This window comes from Homo sapiens, chromosome 15 (genome assembly GCF_000001405.40).
Source record: "Homo sapiens chromosome 15, GRCh38.p14 Primary Assembly".
NCBI lineage: Eukaryota > Metazoa > Chordata > Mammalia > Primates > Hominidae > Homo > Homo sapiens.
In genome coordinates this window covers 45,582,985-45,610,911 of record NC_000015.10, presented here as the reverse complement: position 1 = coordinate 45,610,911, position 27,927 = coordinate 45,582,985, and the positions used below count along the sequence as shown (strand labels likewise).

Below are 27,927 nucleotides of genomic sequence, written 5' to 3'. Positions count from 1 at the left end.
GAACCCGGGAGGTGGAGCTTGCAGTGAGCCGAGATCGCGCCACTGGACTCCAGCCTGGGAGACAAAGCGAGACTCCGTCTCAAAAAAAAAAAAAAAAAGCATCTCTCAAGCCATGCTGGATGCTGCGGACCAGGATGCAGTGTCAGACATGGGAGTTATTGTCCACATCATTGAAAAGGACAAAATCACCACCAGGATTGAAGGCCTGAATGGACTAACCCTGTTCGCAGAGCCCACTTTTTTTTTTTTAATAAAATAGCCTTAAAAAAAAAACTTAAAAATCTGACCTAAAATATACTATCAGTTGGAAATTTTCATTTTTTGTAAGTCGTACATGCAGGGATCCTTTTGAAGCACTTTCTACCAAACTACTAACAGTGGGTATTATTTTTGTTCTCAAAGAAAAGTGAAAAACTTTATGAAATTGGTTTGACTAGAATCTTTTCACACTATCATATTTATTTATTTATTTATTTAATTTTTTTTTTTTTTGAGATGGAGTCTCGCTCTCGCTCTGTCGCCCAGGCTGGAGTGCAAGCACACCACCACACCCTGCTCATTTTTGTATGTTTAGTAGAGACAGGGTTTCACCATGTTGGCCAGGCTGCAGGCTGGTCTTGAGCTCCTGACCTCAACTGATCCAACCGCCTCGGCCTCCCAAAGTGTTAGGATTACAGGCATGAGCCACCATGCCTGGCCTCTATCCCTTTTTTTTTTTTTTTTTTTTTTTTTTTGAGACAGGGTCTCACTCTGTCGCCCAGGCTGGAGTGCAGTGGTGTGACCTCGGCTCACTGCAACCTCTGCCTCCCAGTTCAAGTGATTCTCCTGCCTCAGCCTCCTGAGTAGTAGCTGGGATTACAGGCATGCACCACAATACCCGGCTAATTTTTGTATTTTTTGTAGAGACAGCGTTTGCCATGTTGGCCGGGCTGGTCTCGAACTCCTGGCCTCAAGTGATCCACCCACCTTGGCCTTCCAAAGTGCTGGGATTACAGGCATGAGCCACCGTGCCTGGACTTTCTATCACCTTTCTAAAAGAAATTTCAAGAGTGGACCCATAATTTTGTGACACAATAGATGGAGAACATTAAGAGAAAGATAACAGGTGAGAAGAGAAGAGAGTAGAATGTTTGAAATAATGTACATGAAGGGGAGTATATAGCGCTGTGCACAGAAGGATGCTTGATAAATGACATCAGATAATTCAGAGACCTTTTTTTATTAAATGTGTAAAAAGCAGTTCTCATCTTACAAGCTCAAAATCAGACGAATGTATGAGGGTGTATAATTGTTATATTTATAAACTGTATCACCCAAAAACTCAATGAGGACACAATCTATATTACATTCAACATTTGCATATTTACATGATACTTACTGCAAAGTAAATACAAAATGAACTCCCATCATTTTAGTTCAGAACACAGGTGATATAATTTCAAAACAAAGGCAATTTTTTTCAACAAAGAACAGAAGTCTCCCAAGTACCAATTCACTATTTTGCAGAAAAATACAACACTAATTATAAGATTTCCATTCCAGTTTAGTCAGTAAGATACGTTGTTTGTTTGTTTGTTTGTTTTGTTTTTAGAAACAGGGTCTCACTCTGTCATACGGGCTGGAGTTCAGTGGTGCGATCAGAATTCACTGCAGCCTTGAACTCCTGGGCTCAAAGAATCTTCCCACCTCAGCCTCCCAAAGCACTGGGATTACAGGTGTGAGCCATCACAGTCTAGTAAGGTATGTTTTTGTTACTGAAATACAGCTAAAGTTTTGGATTTTAATCACCAAAATAACAGTACTTCTGGTTTACAATTGACTTTAAAATAAAGGATACTAATATATATTTATTTTCACATTTTTTTTAAATCTTCAAAACTGAAATACAATTCTGAAAGTATTTGTGCCTTGTCATTTGTTCAATAAATTTGATTTGTTTTTAAACAGGTCACAAAAGTTCAATTAGCTAACCAGAATTCTATATCTATTGCCTGTCTACTGGGGTTCAGTCTTAAGTCTGACTATATCAAAAGCAGCAGCTCAGAATTTATTTCATAAAATTAATCCCAAGAGTTACTGGGTAGCTTTTAAAGTATTTCATCGCTTATAATACAACTCACTAGATAGATAGTCTATACTAGTGACTCGTGACATCAAAATTATCTGGAGAGTTTTTTAAAAAATACGTAGGATCCACATCATAACTACACTAAGAATCAAGAATGTCTGTATTTTTTTTAACGTTCCCAGGTTATAATGCTATGCAGCCTAGCGTGGGAAACCCCAACGTACCACTAAGCCTGTGGTTCTCAACTTTTCAGGTGCACTGGAATCACTGGGGGAAACTTTAAAAACAAAAAGCAAAGCAAAACAAACAAAGAAAACAGATGTGCTTCAGTAGATAGAGAATTGTGTGCAGGAACCAGCATTTTAAACAACCACTGCAGTTGGTCCCAAATGACTCAGAAACGCTGTACTACCTTTGTCAGATATCATATTATAATGAGTACATTCAGCAATTTAGGTGACATTGTCTGCAAGCCCTAATGAATCCTGCCCTAGGCAGTTTTAGCAAGTGTTTGAGGGCAACACTCAGCCTTTCAAATAAAATATATTTATATTCTTAAATATTAGGTCAAAGTCAACTGAATTGTGAGACCATCATTCATTAAAGAAGGCAAATGCTCTTTTCCAACAATTTAAACCTTTAAACAAACCAGTTCTTAGCCCTCAACTTAAACCTAATGCTTTCTCTATCGTTAGCCTGATATGTGATCAGAGGTAGTGATTCCATCTTACCAGAAATGTATTGTGGATTATAAAAGATACCATTCATACATCTTCACAGGCTCTGTACAGTCCCTATGTAATGGAGATTGGAGACCAGTTGGATATTAAATAATACTGTAAAACAGTAAACAATACACTCTTGATTTTAAACAATGAAACCTCGTATTTCCCTCAAACAATAAATTCTTACATATAATATCCAGAAAAAAATTCTAGAAAACACTAAAGGTATCACGCTGCCTCTTTTGTGAAGCTATTTACTAATTTTTCACCATCCCTGTAATTATCTATAAAGTGGGTATTTGGTGTACATCATTCCACTTCAAGAAATTTTTTTTTCTTTTTTTTGGAGACGGAGTCTTGCTCTGTCACCAAGGCTGGAGTGCAGTGGCACGATCTTGGCTTACTGCAACCTCTGCCTCCTGGGTTCAAGCAATTCTCCTGCCTCAGCCTCCCAAGTAGCTGGGACTACAGGCGCACGCCCCCACACCCAGCTAATTTTTGTATTTCTAGTAGAGACGGGGTTTCACCATGTTGGCCAGGATGGTCTCAATCTTTTGACCTCATGATCCACCCGCCTCGGCGTCCCAAAGCGTTGGGATTACAGGCATGAGCCACCGCACCCGGCCTCACTTCAAGAATTTTTTACAAGCACAGAAACTATATCTCAGTGTATGATAACTGTTACTATAATACTATATTGTATTATAAATATACAAGCTCATTTGAGTGTGTGATAGCTCCACTACCTCCACCAAGCTTTAGGAATATATATAATCTACTTTGAACCCAAAAGCCACAGAAGCAGTGACAACGACGCTAAGAAGCAGAAAGAGTATATGGTTAGTAGAAACTATCTGGCATCTTGCTCACCTGAACTACACCTAAAGTGCTGTTATTTCCCGTACATGCACTTTTCCATTATGTTCTTCACAAAGGCTCACCTCTTTTCCATAAGCCACCATGCCCAGTCCACAAACCAAATTATTTTTAATGTTCAACAGAAAAGAAAGGTAGCAACAAGTTCCTTATTTTTGTTAATTCCTTGTTTCTTGTAATAAAGAGTATCACTTCCTCTCACCAAAAAGCTATAGAGCTTCTGATGAAATTCAACTGTTCAAAAGGTTTACCTCTTTTCCAGGGGTAGGTGTGATTAAACAGCTGGCATTTCTTCTTAACAAAGTAATGAAAAGGCAATTACTAAAAAATCAGCATTGTATTACCAGAAAGGCAAGTCATTTCATAAAATAAGAACTGGAGAGTTTTAAATCCATATTCATTAAGAAGCTAAAAAATTCATACTAATTTTTAACCACTTAGAGTTTTGACTCACAATAATCAAACCACTTTCCAGTTTATAAATAATTCAAGATCAAAATAATAAATTTTAAAATTAAGCAAAATTTGAAAAACTTACATATAAATATCAAAAACCATGCAACATGACGTCTGCTACTTGGAAAAAAGGCATGGAGACACAGTAATACCGGAATAAGGATTTCAACATATGACATAATGGCATAAGGCACTACCTCAACTTCAGTCTACACTTGAGTCATCATAACCCAAATATGGGACAGGAGAAGAAAACACACAAACACAACTTTTCACATCCTTTTGGCTGGTCTGGCAGTTAACTGCTTTTCTCTTTCAAACTCCTTCTCTCGTTGCTGCTCCCTTTCCAACTCTTCTTTTTGCCTCTTCTGCTGCAGTTTAAGTGCTCTTTTCTGTGTTAAAAAAAAAATTTAAAAACCAAGAGAGCAATCAGGGGTTACAGGTTTAGCCTAATTTGAAAATAACAGTGCTCTGCTTTGAGGTAATTCATTCACACTAATAAACTTCATCTTGGACATTTAAATTTGGGATAATTTAAGGTCCCTTTGATTCAAAAAAATTTGTTGCTCTAAACTCTTATTAAATGAGAACTGTAGGGCATATCCAGAGAATCTAAGCCTATCAGCCCAGCTATTAGTAAAAATGCTCAGAGTGCAGTTGAAAAAAAAATGATATTTTTAAGGCTGCACGCAGTGGCTCATGTCTGTAATCCCAGCACTTAGGGAGGTCGAGGCCAGAGGGCTGCTTGAGCTCAGGAGTTTAAGACCAGCCTCGGAAACGTAGTGAGACCCTGTCTCTAATATTTCTTAAACAATGACATTTTTAAAAAGAAAACAATGTACCATGAATGAATTATGCTATTGTATATGAGGGTATAAAAGTCAAAATATGAATACTGGCCGGGCACAGTGGCTCACGCCTGTAATCTCAGCACTTTGGGAGGCCAAGGCAGGCGTATCACCTGAGGTCAGGAGTTTGAGACCAGCCTGGCCAACATGGTAGAACGCTGTCTCTACTAAAAATACAAAAATTAGGTGGGTGTGGTGGCGGGCACCTGTAATCCCAGCTACCTGGGGAGCTGAGGCAGAAGAATCGCTTCAACCCCGGAGGCAGAGGTTGCAGTGAGCCGAGATTGCACCATTGCACTCCAGCCTGGGCGGCAAGAGCAAAACTCCGTCTCAAAAAAAAAAAGAATACTGAAAAAAAAAAAAAACAACAAAAAACAATTAAACCTCTACTTTTGTAAAGAATGTGAAAGAATTTTCAACTCACTTTTAACTTTGATGTTTTTTCATGAAGCATCAGCATCTCTTTTCTTATATTCACCAACTTGGCATGATAGTGTTTAGCCTCAGCAAACTTAACATGGAAAAATAAATGAAAAGTCAAGTTAAAATAGACTAAAATATCAAAATGAATAAATAAGGCAATATATAAATGATAGTTTGTGCTTCCTAAATTGGTCAAAATTTTTACAGCCTTATCTTCACATTTTAATTCCAAAATAAAGATTTCCTTATATTGTTAGTAGGATTTGAAAGACATTTGATTTAGTTCAGATTGACAAAAGTGTTACTAAACATAAAATAGACATTTATATTAAGATGGGCATAGACAATATTTTGCTTTAAAAACATATAATTCTAAAATTTCAGATAAGACTATCTAATAATGCTATCAGTTTCATTTAAGAAAAGTAAAACATTCTCTCTGCCTTTACAAGAGACAGACTGAGCCAGAGCACATGAAACAGTTTAAGTGAAGTGTCTGCCCATAAGGAAAACCCAAACTGTGGCCACAGAGCCCTGGACAGAAAGGACTGTGGACAAGTTTAATCCATTCCTTGGGCTGCTTTAGTCAGACTAAGCAGAATGATCTCTGTGAGGACACTTTCCTTCTTGAGGAGTCTTAAGTACAGACTTTACAACTCAGCCAACCTGCATAATCTAAAATGAAGTCTTATGTCAGGAGAAGATGGGAGGATGATGCAAGCCTAGAGATGTCAGAGAGAAGGAGAAAAGCACCCTATTTTCAGACAAGGTTACAGAAAGAGAAGAAATGAAAGAAATGTCAGTAGAGAGATTCACAGCCTTAATGTAGCTGCAAGTAAAGTCATTGTCTGATTAGCTCAGAAGTTACAGTGCCTTTTTACATATCCTGGGCCTTCCAGTTTTCAGTTCCCAGATGATAATAAAAACTACTCTTGACTAAGAGAAGAAAAAAGAGGAAGACTCCATCCTGCCCCTTCAGACTAAAGCAACAGTATTACATCTGCTTGGTTAATTCATTCAACATTCATTCATTCAACAAATATTCCTTCTGTTGCAACAGGATTTCAGTGGGGAACACAAAAATAGGTCAGTGTAGCCTTGCCCACCTCCCTCGCAAGAAACCAGGAACTACTGGGCAGATGGCTCTGTATTTACTTCCACAGGCCTCTAATGCCAGAGAATATGAACTTTGTTTTTAATTGTTACAAATGGAAAACATTAGTAAACCATCTTTGTCCAAAGAAAAGTCCATTTTTTTGAGGTATGCATGAATGGCTACAGTCATGTAAACCCAGCTTCTTTTTTTCTTAATAGAGATGGGGTCTTGCTACGTTGGCCAGGTTGGTCTTAAACTGCACGCCTCAAGTAATCCTCCTACCTCAGCCTCCCAAAGTGCTGGGATTACAGTCATAAGTCACTGTGCCCTGCCCACAAACAAAACTATTTTTAATGTTCATCAGAAAATAAAGGTAGCAAAACAAGTTCCTTTTTTTGGTTAATTCCTTGTTTCTTATAATACAGAGTATCACTTCCTCTCATCAAAAAGCTATAGAACTTCTGATGAAATTCAACTGTTCAACTATTTATATTGAAAGATATAACTGATCATTCTCAAAGCGTCCACTTCAGCCTATAGCATTAATTTATTATAGCATTATGAATATGCCATATAATTAAATAAAATGCTAATTTAAGAAACCATGTAATTGGTAAAGAGAAATGCACTTTCTTTAAAGAAAAAAAAAATGGTACCCCAAAGGTTCATTACTTCCAGTTCGCTCTTTTTGTTTGTTTGTTTTTTGAGACAGGGTCTCCCTTTGTCACCCAGGCTGGAGTACAGTGGCACAATCACAGCTCACTTGTGGCCTCGACCTCCTGGGCTCAAGCAATCCTTCCACCTCAGTTTCTGGAAAAGCTGGGACTACAGGCATGTGCCACCATGCCCAACTATTTTTCTAAATTACTTTTTGTAGAGATGGGTTCTCACTATGTAGCCCAGGCTGGTCTTGAACTGCTAGGCTCAAGCAATCCTCCTGCCTCAGCCTCCCAAAGTGCTGGGATTACAGGTATGAGCCACTATGCCAAGTCTAAGTTCTCTTTTCTAAGTCTTCAATTATAAGCAGATCTATTCCAAATGCACAAATAAGTTAAATTTCCTACTATAAATTCAACATTTGAAAGATAACAATTCAACACAACAGAAGTTCAATCAAGGTTTCTTGTTAAAAAGACAAATTCTAAGCTTAAAATCTTAGCTATTGCTTAGCTAAGTCTTAGCTATTGCTAAGACAAGATGTCATTAAATTACATCAACTAAATCATACTTACCAAAGCATTAATATCCAACATAGAATGACATTCTTTAAATTTTGAAATCTCTTGTTCCAGTGTGTCTAACAATACAACTTGGTTCTGTCTGAAACAAAAACACACAGCCAAGACAAACTCTACATATTTAAAGTGCCGGTCCATTAAAAGGAATCATATTCATCTTGGTTAATGGTAACAGTTAGTTAAGTAGGAAATGTATTAACTCTCTAAGGTTTATTTAATATAGAATAAGATTTTTCAAAATAATATTCTAAAGCCACATTCTGATAACTAAATGTGTCTTTTATTCTTGCTTCAATTTCTAATAACTAAAATAATCCAATCATTTAAAAGTATTTTATTACTTGTTACTTTTAACAACTCTCTGTATTATTCCAAAAAAGAAGTTTTTTATAGTATTTTGCCCAAGAAGTTCAATGTTTTATATATCTTAAAATTGCAACATTCCCATAAAGGAAATGAGGAACAATGGTTTTTCAGATTAGAGGTGAGGAAGATGAAGTATCAAGGGATAGTAAGTCAAAAAGAATAATTAAGCAGTAAGATGAAAAAAGCACAGGACTGGAAATCATAGCTTTCCCCGGCCAACAGCCAGTTAGCTATATGATCTTAGAAATTCAGTTTATTTCTCTGGCCTAAATCTCCTCATTTACAAAGTGAGAAGATCAGACCAGATAATTTCTAATGTTTCTCATTACAATTCTAATTCAAAACTCATTGAGGAAGAGAAGCCAACTTCCTTGATATTTCTTTACACATCAATCAATGTTAGGATCACAGGAATAAGTGACATTAAAAGGGTCACCTACCTGAATATTTTAAAGAATGCTACAAAGAAAAATATGTCATTTGCTTGTAAAACTGTGCTATCTAGAGAATAATGATAAAAAAAAAAAAGAAATAACAACGAACAGGCTCAGGGCAATTACAACATCTCTACTATCCAGCACTGAGTCTGGCATACCCTACAGGTCATAAATTTGTCTCTTGGCTGGGCACAGTGGTTCATGCCTATAATCCCAGCACTTTGAGAGGCCAAGGAAGGAGGATTGCTTGAAGCCAGGAATTCAAGACCAGCGTGGACAACAAAGCAAGACCCTCTACAAAAACAAAAAAAACACACACACACACAAAAAATGAGCTGGGTGTGGTGGCACACACCTGTGGTCCGAGCTACTTGGGAGGCTGAGGCAGAAGGATTGCTTGAGCCCAGGAGTTAGAAACTGCAGTGAGTTATAATCACACCACTGTACTACAGCCTATGTGACAGGGTGAGACCCCATCTCTACAAATATAAATAAATAAATAAATAAATAACTTTGTCCCTCCAGCTTGGACTAGAGATCACAGAAAGTGAAATACAGAATGGATGAGAGGAAAACCCAGCAAGTCAACCATCTGAGATACACAGGACAGCAAAAATAGGCTGTTAGAACTAGAAAACAATAGAAGGGGGAAAACAAAAAAATCAATGAGACAAAAAGGTGGTTCTTTAAAAGATCAATAAAATTGATAAACCTCTAGTGAGACCAATCAAGAAAAAAAAACCCCAAAGTATTAGTATTATTCATGAAAGAGCAGTAATCACCACTGATCCCATGACATTAAAAGGATAATAAATGAATATTTTCAACAACTCAGTGCTCATAAATTTGATAATGTGGATGGAATGGACTAATTCTTTGAAAGATACAAACTACCAAAACTTATACAAGGAGAAACAAAAAGTTTATGTAGGCCTATATTTATTAGACAAATTGAATCAGTAAGTAATAACCTTCCAAAAAAGACAGTACCGGGACCAAACGGCTTCACTGGTAATTTTTACCAAACATTTAAGGAAGACGTGATACCAATTCCCCACAGTCTCTTCCAGAAAATATGTCAGTCCTCCTTTATCTGCAGTTTTGCTTTCTTCAGTTTTAGGCACGTACAGTCAACTGCAGCTGTGCTATATCATCACAAGAAGGGTAAGTACAGCACAATAAGATATTTTGAAAGAGAGACCACATTCACTTAACTTTTATTATAGTATAACTGCTGTATTTTATTATTAGTTATTGTTGTTAATCTCTTACTATGCCTAACTTATAAATTAAACTTTATCATAGGTATGTAAGTATAGGAAAAAACATAGTGTATAAAGGCTGACATCCATAACCTGAAAATCCAAAATGTTGCAAAACCTGAAACATTTGGACAATGAATGACCCACCTGACCTCATGTGATAAGTCACAGTCAAAACTCTTTGTTTCATGCACAAAATTATTTAAAATATTGTATCCACTAGGGGTCTTGGAACATATCCTCCTTTGGATAAAGGGCAACAACTGCAGAAGCAAAAGGAGCACCTCCCAACTCATTCTATGAGGCTAGCATTACCCTAAAGCCAAACCAGATAAAGATATTACAAGAAAGAAAAACTATAGACCAGTATCTCTCATGAACATCGATATAAAACTCCTCAACAAAATATTAGCAAATTGAATCCAACAATGTGTAAAAAGAATTACATACCACAACCAAGTAAAATTTCTGCCAAATACGCAAAGCTGGTTCAATATTCAAAAATTCAATCAATGTAATCTACCACATCAACAGGCTAAAGAAGAAAAATTACATGGTCCTATCAATTGATGTAGAAAAAGCATTTGACAAAATCCAGCATCTATTCATGACTATAAACCATCAACAAACTAGGAAGAGAGAGGATCTTCCTCAACTTAATAAGGAATACCTTGAAAAACCTGCAGCTAACATTTAGGGTGAGAAACTACATAATTTTCTCCTAAAACTAGAACAAGCTATGTCCCCTCTCACAACTCCTATTCAACATCATACTTTTTTTTTTTATTATACTTTAAGTTTTAGGGTACATGTGCACATTGTGCAGGTTAGTTACGTATGTATACATGTGCCATGCTGGTGCACTGCACCCACTAACTCGTCATCTAGCATTAGGTATATCTCCCAATGCTATCCCTCCCCCCTCCCCCCACCCCACCACAGTCCCCAGAGTGTGATATTCCCCTTCCTGTGTCCATGTGATCTCATTGTTCAATTCCCACCTATGAGTGAGAATATGCGGTGTTTGGTTTTTTGTTCTTGCGATAGTTTACTGAGAATGATGATTTCCAATTTCATCCATGTCCCTACAAAGGACAGGAACTCATCATTTTTTATGGCTGCATAGTATTCCATGGTGTATATGTGCCATATTTTCTTAATCCAGTCTATCATTGTTGGACATTTGGGTTGGTTCCAAGTCTTTGCTATTGTGAATAATGCTGCAATAAACATACATGTGCATGTGTCTTTATAGCAGCATGATTTATAGTCATTTGGGTATATACCCAGTAATGGGATGGCTGGGTCAAATGGTATTTCTAGTTCTAGATCCCTGAGGAATCGCCACACTGACTTCCACAATGGTTGAACTAGTTTACAGTCCCACCAACAGTGTAAAAGTGTTCCTATTTCTCCACATCCTCTCCAGCACCTGTTGTTTCCTGACTTTTTAATGATTGCCATTCTAACTGGTGTGAGATGATATCTCATAGTGGTTTTGATTTGCATTTCTCTGATGGCCAGTGATGATGAGCATTTTTTCATGTGTTTTTTGGCTGCATAAATGTCTTCTTTTGAGAAGTGTCTGTTCATGTCCTTCGCCCACTTTTTGATGGGGTTGTTTTTTTCTTGTAAATTTGTTTGAGTTCATTGTAGATTCTGGGTATTAGCCCTTTGTCAGATGAGTAGGTTGCGAAAATTTTCTCCCATGTTGTAGGTTGCCTGTTCACTCTGATGGTAGTTTCTTTTGCTGTGCAGAAGCTCTTTAGTTTAATTAGATCCCATTTGTCAATTTTGGCTTTTGTTGCCATTGCTTTTGGTGTTTTGGACATGAAGTCCTTGCCCATGCCTATGTCCTGAATGGTAATGCCTAGGTTTTCTTCTAGGGTTTTTATGGTTTTAGGTCTAACGTTTAAATCTTTAATCCATCTTGAATTGATTTTTGTATAAGGTGTAAGGAAGGGATCCAGTTTCAGCTTTCTACATATGGCTAGCCAGTTTTCCCAGCACCATTTATTAAATAGGGAATCCTTTCCCCATTGCTTGTTTTTCTCAGGTTTGTCAAAGATCAGATAGTTGTAGATATGCGGCATTATTTCTGAGGGCTCTGTTCTGTTCCATTGATTTATATCTCTGTTTTGGTACCAGTACCATGCTGTTTTGGTTACTGTAGCCTTGTAGTATAGTTTGAAGTCAGGTAGTGTGATGCCTCCAGCTTTGTTCTTTTGGCTTAGGATTGACTTGGCGATGCAGGCTCTTTTTTGGTTCCATATGAACTTTAAAGTAGTTTTTTCCAATTCTGTGAAGAAAGTCATTGGTAGCTTGATGGGGATGGCATTGAATCTGTAAATTACCTTGGGCAGTATGGCCATTTTCATGATATTGATTCTTCCTACCCATGAGCATGGAATGTTCTTCCATTTGTTTGTATCCTCTTTTATTTCCTTGAGCAGTGGTTTGTAGTTCTCCTTGAAGAGGTCCTTCACATCCCTTGTAAGTTGGATTCCTAGGTATTTTATTCTCTTTGAAGCAATTGTGAATGGGAGTTCACTCATGATTTGGCTCTCTGTTTGTCTGTTGTTGGGGTATAAGAATGCTTGTGATTTTTGTACATTGATTTTGTATCCTGAGACTTTGCTGAAGTTGCTTATCAGCTTAAGGAGATTTTGGGCTGAGACGATGGGGTTTTCTAGATAAACAATCATGTCGTCTGCAAACAGGGACAATTTGACTTCCTCTTTTCCTAATTGAATACCCTTTATTTCCTTCTCCTGCCTGATTGCCCTGGCCAGAACTTCCAACACTATGTTGAATAGGAGCGGTGAGAGAGGGCATCCCTGTCTTGTGCCAGTTTTCAAAGGGAATGCTTCCAGTTTTTGCCCATTCAGTATGATATTGGCTGTGGGTTTGTCATAGATAGCTATTATTTTGAAATACGTCCCATCAATACCTAATTTATTGAGAGTTTTTAGCATGAAGGGTTGTTGAATTTTGTCAAAGGCTTTTTGCATCTATTGAGATAATCATGTGGTTTTTGTCTTTGGCTCTGTTTATATGCTGGATTACATTTATTGATTTGCGTATATTGAACCAGCCTTGCATCCCAGGGATGAAGCCTACTTGATCATGGTGGATAAGCTTTTTGATGTGCTGCTGGATTCGGTTTGCCAGTATTTTATTGAGGATTTTTGCATCAATGTTCATCAAGGATATTCAACATCATACTTTAAGTCCAAGCTAATACAGCAAGACAAGAAAAAGAAATAAAAGGTATACAAATTGAGAAGAAAGCAATAATACTGTCTTTGTTCCCAGATGATTTCCTATGTGGAAATTCCCAAAGATTCAACAAGAAACCTCCTGAAACTAATAGGCAAGTATAGTAAGATTTCAGGATACAAGGTTAATATACAGAAGTCAATTTCTTTCCTATGTACCAGCAATGAATTTGAAATTTAAAAAACAATACCATTTATAGTAGCTCCCCATCCCCAGTGAAATATGGTGGTACAAATATAACAAAATATATACAGGAGCTATATGCAAAAAGTATAAAACTCTAATGAAAAATATCAAAGAAAATCTAAATAATAGAGAGATACTCCAAGTACACAGATTAAAAGACTCAACTGTTGTTGTTCAGATAGGGTCTCACTTTGTCACCCAAGCTGGACTGCAGCGGCATGATCATAGTTCACTGCAGCCTTGAACTCCTGGTTCAAGGGATCCCCTGCCTCAGCCTCCCAAGTAGCTATGACTACAGGTGCACACCACCACGCCAGGCTGACTTTTTAAATTTTTTTGTAGAGACAGGGTCTCATTACATTACCCAGGCTGGTCTCCAACTCCTGGCCTCAAGAGATCCTTCTGCCCCAGGCTCCCAAAGTGCTTGGATTACCAGCATCAACCACCACACCCAGCCCTTCAATATTTTTTAAGATGCAAATTATTTCCAACTTGATCTAAGGATTCAATGCAACCCCAATCAAAATCCCAGCAAGTTATCGTATAGATATCAACAAACTGTTTTAAAGTTCATATGGAAAGGCAAAGACATAGAAGAGCCAATACAACATTGAAGAACAAAATTGGAAGACTCACAGTACCCAATTTCAATACTTATTATAAAGCTACAGAAATCTGGCCAGGCACAGTGACTCACTCCTGTAATCCCAGCACTTTGGGAGCCTGAGGCTGGGGATCACCTGAGGTCAGAAGTTCAAGATCAGCCTGGCCAACATGGTGAAACCCCATCTCTATAAAAAATACAAAAATTAGCTGGGTGTGGTGGCGCGCACCTATAATCCCGCTACTTGGGAGGCTGAGGTGCAAGAATCACGAACCTGAGAGGCAGAGGTTGCAGTGAGCTGAGATCGCCCCACTGCATTCCAGCCTGGGCAACAGTGAGACCCTGTCTCAAAAAAAAAACAAACAATGACAACAACAAAAAGCTACAGAAATCAAGACAGCATGGTAATGGCAAAAGAACAGACATACTGATCAATGGAACAGAATAGAAAACCCTTATTAAATAAACCTACACAAAAACAATAAACTTCTCTTTGACAAAGGTGCAAAGGTAATGCAGTGGAGAAAGGATAGTTTTTTCAACAAATGGTGGCCAGGTACAGTGGCTCACACCTGTAATCCCAGCACTTTGGGAGGCCAAGGCAGGAGGATCACTTGAGCCTAGGAATTCAAGACCAGCCAGGGCAATATGGTGAAACCCCATCTCTACAAAAAATACAAAAATCAGCCAGGTGTGGTGGTGTGCGCCTGTGGTCCCAGCTACTTGGGAGGCCGAGATGGAAGGATCACTTGAGCCCAGGAAATGGAGGCTGCAGTGAGCTAAGGCTGCGCCACTGCACTCCAGCCTGGGCAACAGAGTGAGACCCTGTCTCAAACAACAACAACAACAATAAATGGTGCTGAAGCAACTGGATATCCATGCGCAAAGAAATGCATCTATTAATAGACACAGACCTTACAAGCCTCCACAAAAATTAACTCAGAATAGGCCGGGCGTGGTGGCTCACACCTCTAATCCCAGCACTTTGGGAGGCCGAGGCAGGCGGATCACCTGAGGTCTGAGACCAGCCTGACCAACATGGAGAAACCCCGGCTCTACTAAAAGTACAAAAATTAGACAGGCGTGGTGGTGCATGCCTGTAATCCCAGCTACTCAGGAGGCTGAGTCAGGAGAATCGCTTGAACCCAGGAGGCAGACGTTGTGGTGAGCCGAGATCGTGCCATTGCACTACAGCCTGGGCAACAGGAGAGAAACTCCATCTCAAAACAAACAAACAAAATTAACTCAAAATAAATCATAGGTCTAAATGTAAAATGCAAAACTAGAACTTCTAGAAGAAAACACAGGAGAAAATCTAGGTGACCTTGGTTTGGTGATGAGTTTTTAGACACACTACCAAAAGCACAATTCATAAAAGAAAAAACCGACTATATTTTTTCTTATTTATTAAATAAATTTATTAAAATTAAAAACTCCTGCTCTGCAAAAGACACTGTAAAGAGAGTAATAAGACAAACCACAGTCTTGGAGAAAATATTTGCAAAACACATAAAGGACTCATATCAAAAATATACAAAGAACTCTTAAAACTCAACAATAAGAAAAACAATCCAATTTTAAAATGAGCAAAAGATCTGAACAGACACCTGTTATCTAACAAAGAATTTGTCTGATCTTTGTCCCAGGTTTCTGGCACAGAGCTTCTAAAATCCTTGGAATTTTCCAAGTGACAGAAGTGTCTTTGTTATCCATGAGCTCCTTGGATCACACCTGAGTTTACACTAATAAAGTGACTCATGATGGGCCCCTAGAGCTTCAAGATGGGAGGCTAATGAAAAATAACAAAGAAAGAACTTCTAAATAATAGAGACATTCCAAGTACATAGATTAAAAGACTAAATTTTTGTTGTTGAGATAGGGTCTCACTCTGTCACCCAGGCTAGGGCACAGTGGCATGACCATGGTTCACTGCAGCCTCGAACACCAAGCTGCTGAACACACTGATGTGCTGGCAGCGGGGGTTTCCTCTCACTGGGAGAGGAAACAAAAGTTTTGTGTTCAGGAACCTCCCAGGCACTACCCTGTGTGTCTCTGCATTGGCTTGTCCTGATCTGTACCCTTTATAATACAACTATAATTTTAAGTACAGTGCTTTCCTGACCCATAAGTCTGGCCACTCTCAAAGAAGGTTCCAGAGAATGTGGCTGGGCACAGTGGCTCACACCTGTAACCCTAGGACTCTGGGAGGCCAAGGTGGGCAGATCACTTGAGGTCAGGAGTTCAAAACCAGCCTGGCCAACATGGTGAAACCCATCTCTACTAAAAATACAAAAAAATTAGCTGGGCGGAGTGGTGCGCGCTTGTAATCCCATCTACTTGGGAGGCTGAGGCAGGAGAATCTCTTGAACCCAGGAGGCAGAGGTTGCAGTGAGCCGAGATCCCACCACTGCACTCCAACCTGGATGACAGAATGAGACTCAGTCTCAAAAAAAGGGAGAAAGTTCCAGAGAATACAGTGGGGCAGAAAAGATGACTCAACTTCATTCCCTTGAAGCTTTGTATAATTTACAGTAAATATGCTGACAATGTTTGTGAAGCCTTAATGCAGTGTCTGAGGAATGATTATCTGAGAGAAAAGCTACTTCCTTACAAGTTCCAAGTGTGAATTATCTCGAAGGGAGCTCCATGGAGGCCACTGACAACTGCACCTCTGTGGCTGCTTTAGGGGCCTGGATCCCAGAACCTTGTTTTTTTAGTTTCCAATGTTCTTAAAATGATAAATACATATAAATGAATATTTATAACCTTTCTTATATATAAAGCTAAATTTTTTTCTTGGTCTTCCTTACTCATTGTTAGCTACAAAATAAACTTAATCCCTACCTACCACTACCTTCTCCTTTACTTCTCTGTGGACCTGTTTCTATAATGGTGAAGAGGCTTTACCAAAGGTTTGATGGCAGAGCCAGGACTAGAATCCAGGTGGCTCTCAGTCCAGTACTCTTTCCCCTATATCTTTATTAATAGTGAAATTTGTGGAGAGATGGGGAAAAGAGGAGGAAATACTCTCTTTTTCCTTTCTCTGAAATTTGTTTACCTTTCCTTAACAGTCAAGAAGCATATTAACTACTAATGCATCATATTCAATAGCTAATTCTACTACTACCTGTGTAATCTTTTTCAAATTACTTAACCTCTCTGAGCCTCAGTTTCCTCAATTGTAAATAAGGATAATACTAGATACTTCATAAAGTTGGTGTCAGGAGTAACTGAGATATGTTAAAGTGCTGGGCATATAGTACATATAATAACAAACAGTAGCTAATTTTACTATCATCGTCAAAATAATCATTGTTGTCTGGGTGCCTAAGAAGATAAGTAGGGGCTATTCGAAACACTAAATTTTAGACAATATCATCATCAATTAAACTCTGCAATTAAAACTTGATTCCCAGCTTCCTGCAAGTAAAGTATTTTTCAGATATGTTCGCTTGCAGTTTCTTACCTTCCATCTATCACACCTCATACAACAACAAAGATTGATTGGCATCAAAATATAAGGTATATCGCGCGCTAGGGATAAAAAAAATCTTGTTTGGGATTAGCACAAAACTGAGAAGGTTGCCAACTCCCTAACTATAGTAGTACACATGTAGTCTTAGAATAACCCAGTACCACTTTTTTTTTTTTTTTTTTTTTTCGGAGACAGAGTCTCACTCTGTCACCTGGGCTGGAGTGCAGTGGTGCAGATCTCAGCTCACCACAAACAGCCCCCTGAGTTCGAGCGATTCTCCTGCCTCAGCCTCCCAAGTAGCTGGGGCTACAGGTGCACACCACCACGCCCAGCTAATTTTTTGTGTTTTTAGTAGAGACAGGGTTTCGCCAGGGTGGTCTAAAACTCCCGACCTCAAGTGATCCGCCCGCCTCAGCCTCCCAAAGTGCTGGGATTACAGGTGTAAGCCACCACACTTGGCCTCAGTACCACTTTTATATGCATTTAGCACCTTAACACTAAGGATTATAACATTACTTATAATTATAAAATAAGCACAGTTATTATTCCTCTCCTTTTGCCCTAATAAAGGCCTCTTAAGTAAGTTTTCAAAGGGTAGGTCTCAGAGCAGCAGCAGTTTATAGCCAGTGTAAAGCTGACCACCACAGAAAGAAATGACAGACAGGCCAGCCTGGGCTATCCAGAGAGGTCCCGACCCAGGAGGAGGCAGAAGCTGAGTGTGTTGTCTGTGGATGGGAGCTGATAAAGCCAGAGTATATGTTTTTGTATACTGATCCCACTCTATGGGTTCTGTTCTATCTTAAACTGTTTTCTTAACATATCCTCTAATCTTTACTTACTAGTAAAGTTATCTACTGGGAATGAAACAGATCATCTCAGAAAAGATACTTACAGATCTCTGGCAACTTATTTGAACCAGCAACTGAAAACAAGCGTGACTTTTATGGAGGCAATTTTTCAACTCTACTCAGAAACAGGTGTATCTCCACCTGAACAATCCCCAATAGGCAATACTTTCATAAAATAATGATAAATGCCAAACCTAATCACAGATTCTAGGTAAGATTTAGGAGTACTTCTTAGAAGAGATCGAACACCCTAGGAGTATTCATTTCACTTTTTACATTTAGAATACTATGTACTCCTCTATTCCCATCTGCTATCAATAAAGATATAGACATACTCAATTATAATTGCATGTTAAAAAATATTATGTCTTAACACAGTATACAATTATACAAATTGTGACTATGCCACAGAGGAAATGAGTGTATATCTGGTTTTTTATTAGCTTACGTGAGTTCCTGGAGGGCTTGTTTTGATCTCTGCAGATCTGGCAAATAATGAGAAAGCAATCCTTCTGCCAGTTGCTCCACTGCTTTGTCTTCTATAGTCAAGTCCTCTATTAACCCTTCATCTGGAGAAGTGTCACTTAAACCTGTCCCCAGCAAAAATCAAATTTAGGAACCTTTTATTTATTTTATTTTTTTAGGCTGGTCAACTGAAGCAGTGGGATTAGAGAAGGAACAAAGAAATCTGTAACTGGTTGTGATCAATTAGTTGTAAACACCACTGCACTCTGACCAGCCGGAACCTTTCAAATTGACACAGCTAATAAAAGGAGGTTGGGGAGTAGCAGGTAGAAAGGAGCCCACAAATGGGGTTGAGGGCACACACACAGTCTCCCAACCACAGGTATCCTTCTTTTCTTTTTAAACTTTTACCTCTGAGCTTCCTCTAAAAAATGAGTCATGAATGTTCAAAAAATGTTTTTAAGTTACTACTATAAGGTAAAGTCTATGATAAATGAACATTAACATACACAAAATTCTGTATCTTTATATATTTTTCAGGGCAGAGGACTTATAGTTTTCACTGGATTATCAAAGGAGTCTGAGGGCCAGGGGCAGTGGCTCACACCTGTAATCCTAGCACTTTGGGAAGCCAAGGTGGGAGAATTGCTCAAGCCCAGAATGGCTGGGCACGGTGGCACACACCTGTGGTCCCAGCTATTCAGGAGGCTGAGGTGGGAGGATAACTTGAGCCCAGAAGTTCATGGCTGCAGCGAGCTATGATCGCACCACTGCACTCCAGCCTGGGCAGCGGAGCGAGACCCTGTCTCAAAAAAATAAATAGATATAAAAATAAAAATAAAATAAAGGAGCCTGAGGCCAAAACGTGGGTAACGGTCACTGAACTAAAGCATTCTTGCTTTCAAAAGCATGAAGAAATTATATAAACAAAAATGCAATGCCTAAAATAAAGTATGTTTTCAATTCTATGGAAACAAAAATGTAGGTCAACATCGATTTTGATATAGTTCGATATGTTATTTACATGTAAAAGGAGGGTTGTGTTATTTGTTAGGGAGGAGAAGAGGGATTTTCTAAGAATTTCTTCTCTCTTAAGATTCAGCAACTTAATTTACCATAGAAAATAGTGTATAATCATTGTCTTGTGTATAAATCTAGACCTGATGCTGAGATCAATGCCTCATCACTTTCCTTTGAATAATAAAAGTGTAAGCATTGTGCCAGGTATTCAAAAACATCTAAGATGAATATCAATCACCATTCCTACCAAGAAAAATACAATTTCTAAATAGGGTTTAATGGTTTGTAAGATGGAATCACTGATTTATAATCAGAGAAAAAAAAGTAAGATGGTCACTTTACTAAAATTATACACTAAAATTATGATTAATATTAAACTCTGAAACATCTCTCTTCAATTATAGTCTGGTAACCATCAGTAACATCAAATTACATCACTCTATAGAACAGTTATCACAACACATTGCTTGTGACACATTTCTAAGTACAATTTGTGCCACAGATTTAAATTTTGGCAAAATTGAGAAAAACAGTCTTGGCACAGTGGCTCATGCCTGTAATCCCAGCACTCTGGGAGGCTGAGGTGGGCGGATCACTTGAGGTCAGGAGTTTGAGACCAGTCTGGCCAACATGGTGAAACTCCATCTCAACTAAAAATATAAAAATTTCCCGGGCGTAGTGTTGTATGCCTGTAAGCTCAGCTACTCGAGAAGCTAAGACACAAGAATTGCTTGAACTTGGGAGGTGGAGGCTGCAGTGTGCCAAGATTGTGCCACTACACTCCAGCCTGGGCGACAGAGCAAGACTCTGCCTCAAAAAAAAAAAAAAAAAGATTGAGGAAAACAACATGCTATCATATTCGAAGTAAGCTTTTTGAAAATCAAAATAAAATTATATAATTTTTATTTTAACCCTACGAAACACATGAACAAACTTTGGACTTCTCAAAGTTGCAAGGCAACATTCAAATAGGTAAGAGCTAACTAGAAACTGAAGCACTCCACATATAAAATAAAAATACAAAAACCAAAAAAAGAAAAAATATAGAGAGAGAGAGAGAGAGAGAAAAGTGAAGCACTTAGGGATATTAATGTACCAACTGTATAGGAAGTGAATAAATTATATCCACCAATTATGCCGTTGCTTAAGGCTTGATTAAAATAACAATGCAATCAGCAACTTTAAGTATTAATAAATATAGAAAACAATTTTCTTAATGTTTTATGATAGGAACACCCCAAAAAAGGGCATTTCAACTTTAAGGAATAACAACTAATTCACTTCGCTTAACAATATATACATACATTTTAACTCACAAACCCTCCTCCCACCCCAATGTTCTGGTTAATTATTGGATGAGTCTCAGTTACTCATTTTTTGTTTGTTTGTTTGTTTTGTTTTTCTCTCTTTTACCCTCTGCTTCCAATGGTTAAGAAGTCACTCAAGTTTTTATATATATTTAATTACTAAGTTCAAGGTGCTTTATTGTGCGAGAGTAAAGAAGAAGAAAGGGAGGGTCCTTATTCTATTCATACGAGAAAGGTTTGCTGAACATCTATATTATGTACCAGGTTCTGAGATTACAACAATAAATAAGGCAAGTCTCCTTCCCTGGAAGGGCACAATACGAGCAATCACAGAATATGAGAAGTGAGGAATCACAGAAAATGAGAAACAGAAAATGTTATGGAAATTCAGGGGAGAGCGACTTTCATTAGGGAAGTCTAAGAAAAATTCCTAAAGGAAGTGTGGACACTGAGCTAAGGCTCAAAGAATGGATGGAGTTTTCATTTCTCTTTGTCTATTCGAGTGTTACTCACTGTAAAAACTTAAAACACTACAGAGGGAGGCACAAACTGAAAAGTAAAAATACTTCTTCTTACCCTCTAACTCCAGCATGAGCTACTCTGGAGTTTCTCACAGAGCCTTCCAGAAATTGTCTTTGCGTATCTATGCATATATTATTTTTATGACAAACGAAATATTACTCATACCATTCTGCAACTTTTAAAACATATATCTTAGGTATCTTTCCATACCAACATATAGGGATCTACTACATTATTTTTAGCAGAATAGAATTCTACCATAGTTTGTTTAACCAGTCCCCCATAGATGGATTATTTAGGTTATTTTCACTTTTTGCTATTTCAGACAATGCTGCAGTGAGCTTCCTTGCTTATCTGCATATTTGTGTCACTTTCTGTAGGATAAATTCTTAGAAGTAGACTGTTGGGACAAAGAGTTTATGCATTTTTTAAACAGACATTGCCAAACTGCCCTCCTAAGAAATTGGCACCAATTTCCACTCCCACCAACAATCTGTGAGGACTATTTCCAAATGGGGAAGAAATCTATGGCAGGAGTGGAATGGATGCAATATGGGTAAAGAAAGCAGCATGAGGAAAGGCTGGAATACAGTACAGGATACTTCTGGAGAGGCATGGGGCATATGCAGCATAGCAATAGTGAGCTTTAAGACCGGAAGGCCAGTAAGGGCCTCTAAATGCCAAGTTAATGGTTTGGACCTTTGTTAATAAGTAGTGAGGAGCTATTTAAGGTTTCTGAGTTCAGGAATGACATGACTGAAGCTTTATCTTGGGACAGTGATGTGACAGCAGCGGGACAGATGCGTTGAAAGAGTAAGACTGGAGGTGAACCAGCCTTTCAACAGCTGTTTTAAAGGTGAAATTACAAGGAGATGGAATTGTATAGGAGAATCCCCTAGAGGTGGAAGGAGAGAGAGAGGAAAAAGTCCAGAGCAATTTCAAAGTTTCAAGTCAGAGTGACCTACCACCATTAACAGGATGAGACATGTTTTCATTTATGTACATGCCTTACGTGAGATTAGTGCAAAACAGCCACGTCAAAGTATCCAGCTAGCAGATGGAGAAGTAAACAAGAGTTAAGAGAGGGGCCCAAGTTTCAAATACATACAAAGAAGTCATATTTATAGAAGCGACTTAATGAAAGTGTGAAGAGATCCTTGAGGAAAAGCATGAACAGGAAAGTGCTGAGAGCACTATTTGGGGGTAACCCCTATATTTCTGAAACAGGAGGTAAAAGAAAAAGCATATCCAAGGAGCCCTGCAGCCTTTCTCATCTAAGGCCTCATCTAAACCACAGAACACAGAAAATGCTCTGAGTGACCATTTTCTCAGTTCTCCCAAGGATGGTACATAAATAGTACCATTTTGGGTGCACAGCAAGTTAATTCATTCCATTCAATGGATGCCTTAGGGCATTAGAGCTTAAATCCCTCCTGGAACTCGGTCGAGAAGACTGCTGCAGGAATAGGGATGAAGTAATATCACCGAGCTGACCAAGCATTTCATGAGTGGTCAATATTATAGGATACGTCACCTCTCTGAATTATAAGCTGATCATCTTTCTGGTAAATCCATCCCCCACCACTGCCGTATGACAAATAACCAATGACGTACCGGAGTCAACACATAAACTCAGAATGGCTTCACCATCAACCGCCTTCAATTGCACCCCCAATACAAAGCTTCCCCTCGGGACTTCAGTTCCGCCCATTGCGCTGGGCAGAGGGGCCGGCGCGGTTCCCCATTTCTGCACTCGGGGCAGGGCCCGGGGGCCGCAGCCGCCAAAAACCGCTTACTCCCCCAGGGTTTCTCCGGAGTTCTACTCACTCAGGTCCCCGCCCCTCACACCCAGCCCGGGCCGCGCTTCCCACCCGATAGTACGTACCAGGCGTCGGCTCCCCGGCCTCCAGGCAGTAGGGTGGCCGTGTCAGGGCCCCGTCCGGAGACGACGGCCCAGGGACACTCATGTCCCTCCAGCTGGGAACACAGGGAAGAAGCAAACGTGTGGCTCGTCAGAAGCAAGGCGGCACCTAACGACTCCAGCGGCTGGCCGGACAGAAGAGATTGTCGCACCCGGAAGTGACGGGGGCGAAAAAACTGCGGGCTTCGATCACGCGCTCGAGAGTTGGCTCTGCCCCATGGCGTTGTGGGGACCCCGCGCTGATATCGTCGTCTGGCCCCGGACGCAGTGTCAGCGGACTCAGCAGTGTGGGGCTCGAGTCCCTGCGATCCGATTGGTGGGAGCTGGGGGAGGACGGTGGTCGGTTTGGGCTGCTCACGGGGTGGGTCACGAAGACCGGAAGAGCGTTGTCTTTGTTGGACGCGGGGGAGCCGTCAGGCTTTCTTCACTGAAGCTAGGGAGAAAACAGGACTTTCAGCCCTCACGCGGCACAGCTTTTTAGTGTTGTCTCCGTGTTTAGGGAAAACCTTCAGAACAGGGAGTGCTCGCTTTCCCTGCGATTTGGACCATTAAAAAATTCGATGCCTAGGTCTCTGCGAGCCTCAGCCTTGCTAACTAGGGTTTTGCCACTTTTCCGGGCTCCCCTTGTTAAGTGTAGATGAAAGATTTAAGCCCTCCGTTGCAGCAGCTACTGAACAAATTCGGCCAAGTTATCAGAAACTGCACTTGCTGAGATCCTGTGGAATGATCTCATGAATTCTGTTGGAAAACACTTAGAAAAGGGCATAGGCAGCTTTGGACCAAAGAAAACGATTTAGCTCTGCCATCTCTAGCTTATACCCTCTCATCTCAACTGTAATGGTGGCCTCCTAATGTTGCTCCCCAATTATGCCTGTTCAGTTTTCTCAGCTGCAACCAAAGCTTATTTCAAAAAAATAAGAATTTGCAAGACTCAGAAACTTGCACTGGTTCCCCATTGCCTTTATCAGTGCATTCACACACTTTCCTCTTTGGGCCTCTTTTCCTCTTAGTATTAGCTCCTTCTTATTAACTCTGGTAGGCAGAATACTAGCCCCTCAAAGATGTCCACAGCCTGAACACCAGAAGCTGTGAATATGTTAGCTTGCATAGCAAATGGGAATTAAGGTTGTTAATTACCTGGTGTTGAAATAGATTATCCTGGAATCGCTTTAACCAGGGAGGCAGAGGTTGCAGTGAGCTGAGCAGCTCCACTGCACTCCAGCCTGGGCGACAGGGCGAGATTCCATCTTAAAAAAAAAACATTATCCTGGATTGTTCCAGTGGGCTGATTGTAATCATAGGGCCTCCAAAACTGCAAAAGAGAGTCAAGAGTGACAAGTAACTATGAAGAATGATTAGAGAGATACAACATTGTTGGCTTTGAATATAGAGGAAGGGAGCCTCCAGCATTGTGGGTGACCTCCAGAAGCTGGAACTGGTAAGGAAACATTCCCCTGAAGCCTCTCTAATGCTCTGATGACACCTTGATTTTATCCTCATGTGATCAATGTTGGACTTCTGACCAACAGAACTGTGAAATAATCTGTGTCTTAAGTTTGTGATAACTTGTTATAACACCAATAATAATGTACGGTATACCCTTCAAGACATTCTTTATTCCATGTGAGCATTCTCCTAAAATTATGCCCTTTCATGTCTGCAGTGCTCTTGCCTATGCTTCAACCTGAAATATTCTATCCTTTTGTAAACCAAAAATAAAATTATAAACCCCACAACTGACTGATGGACCCCCTGCCCCTCACCTCTTGGCCAAGGGCATTCCAAAGTAAACCTGAAAATCTAGTTATTCCATCATCTAGATGGAAGTGGGGATGGGGGGGTTAGTCCCGGGGGTGGGTCGGACATGGCTCATTATACCCTCCTCCCTTTGGAATTCAGGCTGAGCTGAACAGCATTCACATGAAAACAGATCTTAAGACTGCCAGACTTTTTCTAGCTTTTCTAGAACTTTATTTTTGACACCAAGCCAGCCTGACTCTAGTATAGCATCACGACAGATAGCAGGCCCTGAAGGAAATTGAATTATTTAACCCCAAAATATATTCCTTTGACATATTTTTAAATGGCCCTGCAAAGCTGTATCTTGTGGGGGAAAACCTACAGTCTGTAGAAAAGCCCTGTTCCTTTCCAGGTGTTTTCCCTTACCCAGGAGGGAATTAACCAAGTCTGGCACCTTTTTAGGTCTGATAAGAGCTCTACCAGAGGCTTCATCTGCATAATAAAACCTTGATCTCTGCCAGGGACAGTGGCTCACGCCTGTAACCACAGCACTTTGGGAGACCAAGGCAGGTGGATCACCTGAGGTCAGGAGTTCGAGACTAACCTGACCAACCTGGAGAAACCCCCGTCTCTACTAAAAATACAAAATTAGCCAGACGTGGTGGTCCATGCCTGTAATCCTAGCTACTTGGGAGGCTGGGGCAGGAGAATTGCTTCAACCCAGGAGGCAGAGGTTGCGGTGAGCCAAGATCATACCACTGCACTCCAGCCTGGGCAACAAGAATGAAACTCTGTCTCAAAAAAAAAAAAAACCTAGGTCTTGGGCCAGGTGTGGTGGCTCACGCCTGTAATCCTAGCACTTTGGGAGGCCGAGGCAGGCAGATCACCTGAGGTCAAGAGTTCGTGACCAGCCTGGACAACATGGTGACTAAAACCTTGTCTCTACTAAAATTACAAAAAAAAAAAAAAAAAGCCAGGCATGGTGGCGGGTGCCTGTAATCCCAGCTTCTCGGGAGGCTGAGGCAGGAGGATCACTTGAACCTGGGAGGTGGAGGTTCCAGTGAGTCGAGATCACACTATTGCACTCCAGCCTGGGCGACAAGAGCAAAACTCTGTCTCAAAAAAACAACCTTGGTGTCCACAACCCCATATCTTAACCCAGACATTCTATTGACTCCAGGTCTTTAGATAATAACTTAAGTCTTTTTTGTTTGTTTATTTCCTAATATAGAGGTAGAGTCTCCGTATGTTGCCCAGGCTGCTCTGGAACTCTTGGCCTAAGGCGATCCTCTCACCTCAGCCTTCCAAAGCACTAGGATTACAGGCGTGAGCCACCACGCCAGCCTGATAATCTTTGAATTGCCTGTGACCCTGAAGTCTCCGCTTCCAGGTGTCCCGCCTTTCAAGACCAAGCCAATGTACATCTTACATGTTTTGATGAATGTCTTAGGTCTTCCTAAAGTATATAAAACTACACTGTAGCCTTGTCAGAGGCATTTGAGCCAGAGCAACTCCATCTTGAATAGGACTGGGTAAAATGAGGCTGAGACCTATTGGGCTGCATCCCCAGGAGGTTAGGCATTCTTAGTCACAGGATGAGATAGGAGATCGGCACAAGATACAGGTCACAAAGACCTTGCTGATAAAACAGCATGTGGTAAAGAAGCCAGCCAAATCCCAACAAAACCAAGATGGTGCCAAAAGTGACCTCTGGTCATCCTCACTGCTCATTATTTGCTAATTATAATGCATTAGCATGCTAAAAGACACACCCACCAGCACCGTGACAGTTTACAAATGCCATGGCAACATCAGGAAGTTACCCTATATGGTCTAAAAAGGGGAAGAACCCTCAGTTCCAGGAATTGCCCACCCCTTTCCCGGAACACTCATGAATAATCCACCCCTTATTTCGCATATAATCAGGAAATAACTATAAGTGTAATCAGTGAGCAGCCTAAGCCGCTGCTCTGCCCATGAGTAGCCATTCTTTATTCCTTTACTTTCTTAATAAACTTGCTTTCACTTTACTCTATGGACTCACCCGAATTCTTTATTTTGCGAAATCCAAGAAGTCTCTCCTGGGGTCTGAATCAGTACCCCTTTCTGCTAACTGCCTGACCACCTTGGGCATATGTTCTCAGGATCTCCTGGGGCTGTGTCATGGGCCATTGGTCACTCACATTTGGCTCAAAATAAATGTCTTCAAATATTTTACAGAGTTTGACTTAATCAACATTTTCAAAGTCCTACTTTTCAGCTGGGTGCGGTGGCTCACACCTGTAATCCCTAGCACTTTGGGAGGCAGATCAGCTGAGGTCAGGAGTTCAAGACCAGCCTGGCCAACATGGTGAAACCCTGTCTCTACCAAAAACACAAAACAGCTGAGCGTGGTGGCACACGCCTGTAATCCTAGATATTCAGGAGGCTGAGGCAGAGAATCACTTGAACCCGGGAGGTGGAGGTTGCAGTAAGCCGAGATAGCACCACTGCACTCCAGCCTGGGTGACAGAGCAAGACTCTGTCTCAAAAAAAAAAAAAAATCCTACTTCTCTTCCAAGGCTCAGTCTTAAAGCCTTTACTTTAAAATCATTCACAATCCCACTACTCCTTTCATTCAGAAGTTACGGTAATAACCCTTTATCAACTACAAAGCATCCTGCTATTTTAGCACTTAATCCGTTCTTTTTTTTTCCCCCTTGGTAGAAACGGGTTTTGCTGTGTTGCCCAGGCTGGTCTCAAACTCCTGAACTCAAGCGATCTGC

The 27,927-nt window shown here is 40.1% G+C and overlaps 1 protein-coding gene across 13 annotated transcripts, besides 3 other annotated features; it reads right to left on the bottom strand.

The window, feature by feature from the left end:
* BLOC1S6 (biogenesis of lysosomal organelles complex 1 subunit 6) lies at nucleotides 1,196-23,789 on the bottom strand. 13 transcript variants are annotated; one of them, NR_132350.1, is made up of 6 exons: nucleotides 23,116-23,352; nucleotides 18,636-18,777; nucleotides 9,505-9,678; nucleotides 7,725-7,812; nucleotides 5,398-5,484; nucleotides 1,196-4,517 (listed from the first exon to the last, which is right to left on the bottom strand). NR_132350.1 is itself a non-coding variant. In NM_001311255.1 (5 exons), exons 1-5 carry the CDS (start codon nucleotides 23,210-23,212, stop codon nucleotides 4,398-4,400), a joined length of 534 nt encoding a protein of 177 aa, NP_001298184.1. In that variant the 5' UTR covers nucleotides 23,213-23,352; the 3' UTR covers nucleotides 1,196-4,397. The 13 variants fall into 13 exon arrangements, 3 of the variants coding, with proteins under 3 accessions (NP_001298184.1, NP_001298185.1, NP_036520.1); NM_001311255.1 differs by lacking the exon at nucleotides 9,505-9,678; NR_132351.2 differs by lacking the exons at nucleotides 9,505-9,678; nucleotides 23,116-23,352 and adding an exon at nucleotides 23,387-23,533 and having other exon boundaries at nucleotides 1,204-4,517; nucleotides 7,725-7,808.
* Nucleotides 22,387-23,007: an enhancer, noted in NCBI's record as "H3K27ac hESC enhancer chr15:45880103-45880723 (GRCh37/hg19 assembly coordinates)". NCBI's record gives its function as "activates a minimal SCP1, AML or CMV promoter by ChIP-STARR-seq in primed H9 embryonic stem cells {active_cell/tissue: H9 hESC(primed)}" and the evidence as "EXISTENCE:reporter gene assay evidence [ECO:0000049][PMID:30033119]".
* Nucleotides 23,474-23,733: an enhancer, noted in NCBI's record as "active region_9363". NCBI's record gives its function as "activates an Ori minimal core promoter by ATAC-STARR-seq in GM12878 lymphoblastoid cells {active_cell/tissue: GM12878}" and the evidence as "EXISTENCE:reporter gene assay evidence [ECO:0000049][PMID:35858748]".
* Nucleotides 23,794-23,893: an enhancer, noted in NCBI's record as "active region_9362". NCBI's record gives its function as "activates an Ori minimal core promoter by ATAC-STARR-seq in GM12878 lymphoblastoid cells {active_cell/tissue: GM12878}" and the evidence as "EXISTENCE:reporter gene assay evidence [ECO:0000049][PMID:35858748]".

What these genes read in the sequence shown, in the direction of transcription:
- BLOC1S6 (NM_001311255.1), bottom strand. Translation starts at nt 23,212, where the DNA reads ATGGGCGGAACTGAAGTCCCGAGGGGAAGCTTTGTATTGGGGGTGCAA. An exon ending in TGTTGGATATTAATGCTTTG is followed by an intron (nt 5,485 to 7,724) that starts GTAAGTATGATT and finishes TTCCATGTTAAG; the next exon opens with TTTGCTGAGGCTAAACACTA. An exon ending in AAAAAACATCAAAGTTAAAA is followed by an intron (nt 4,518 to 5,397) that starts GTGAGTTGAAAA and finishes TTTTTAACACAG; the next exon opens with AAAAGAGCACTTAAACTGCA.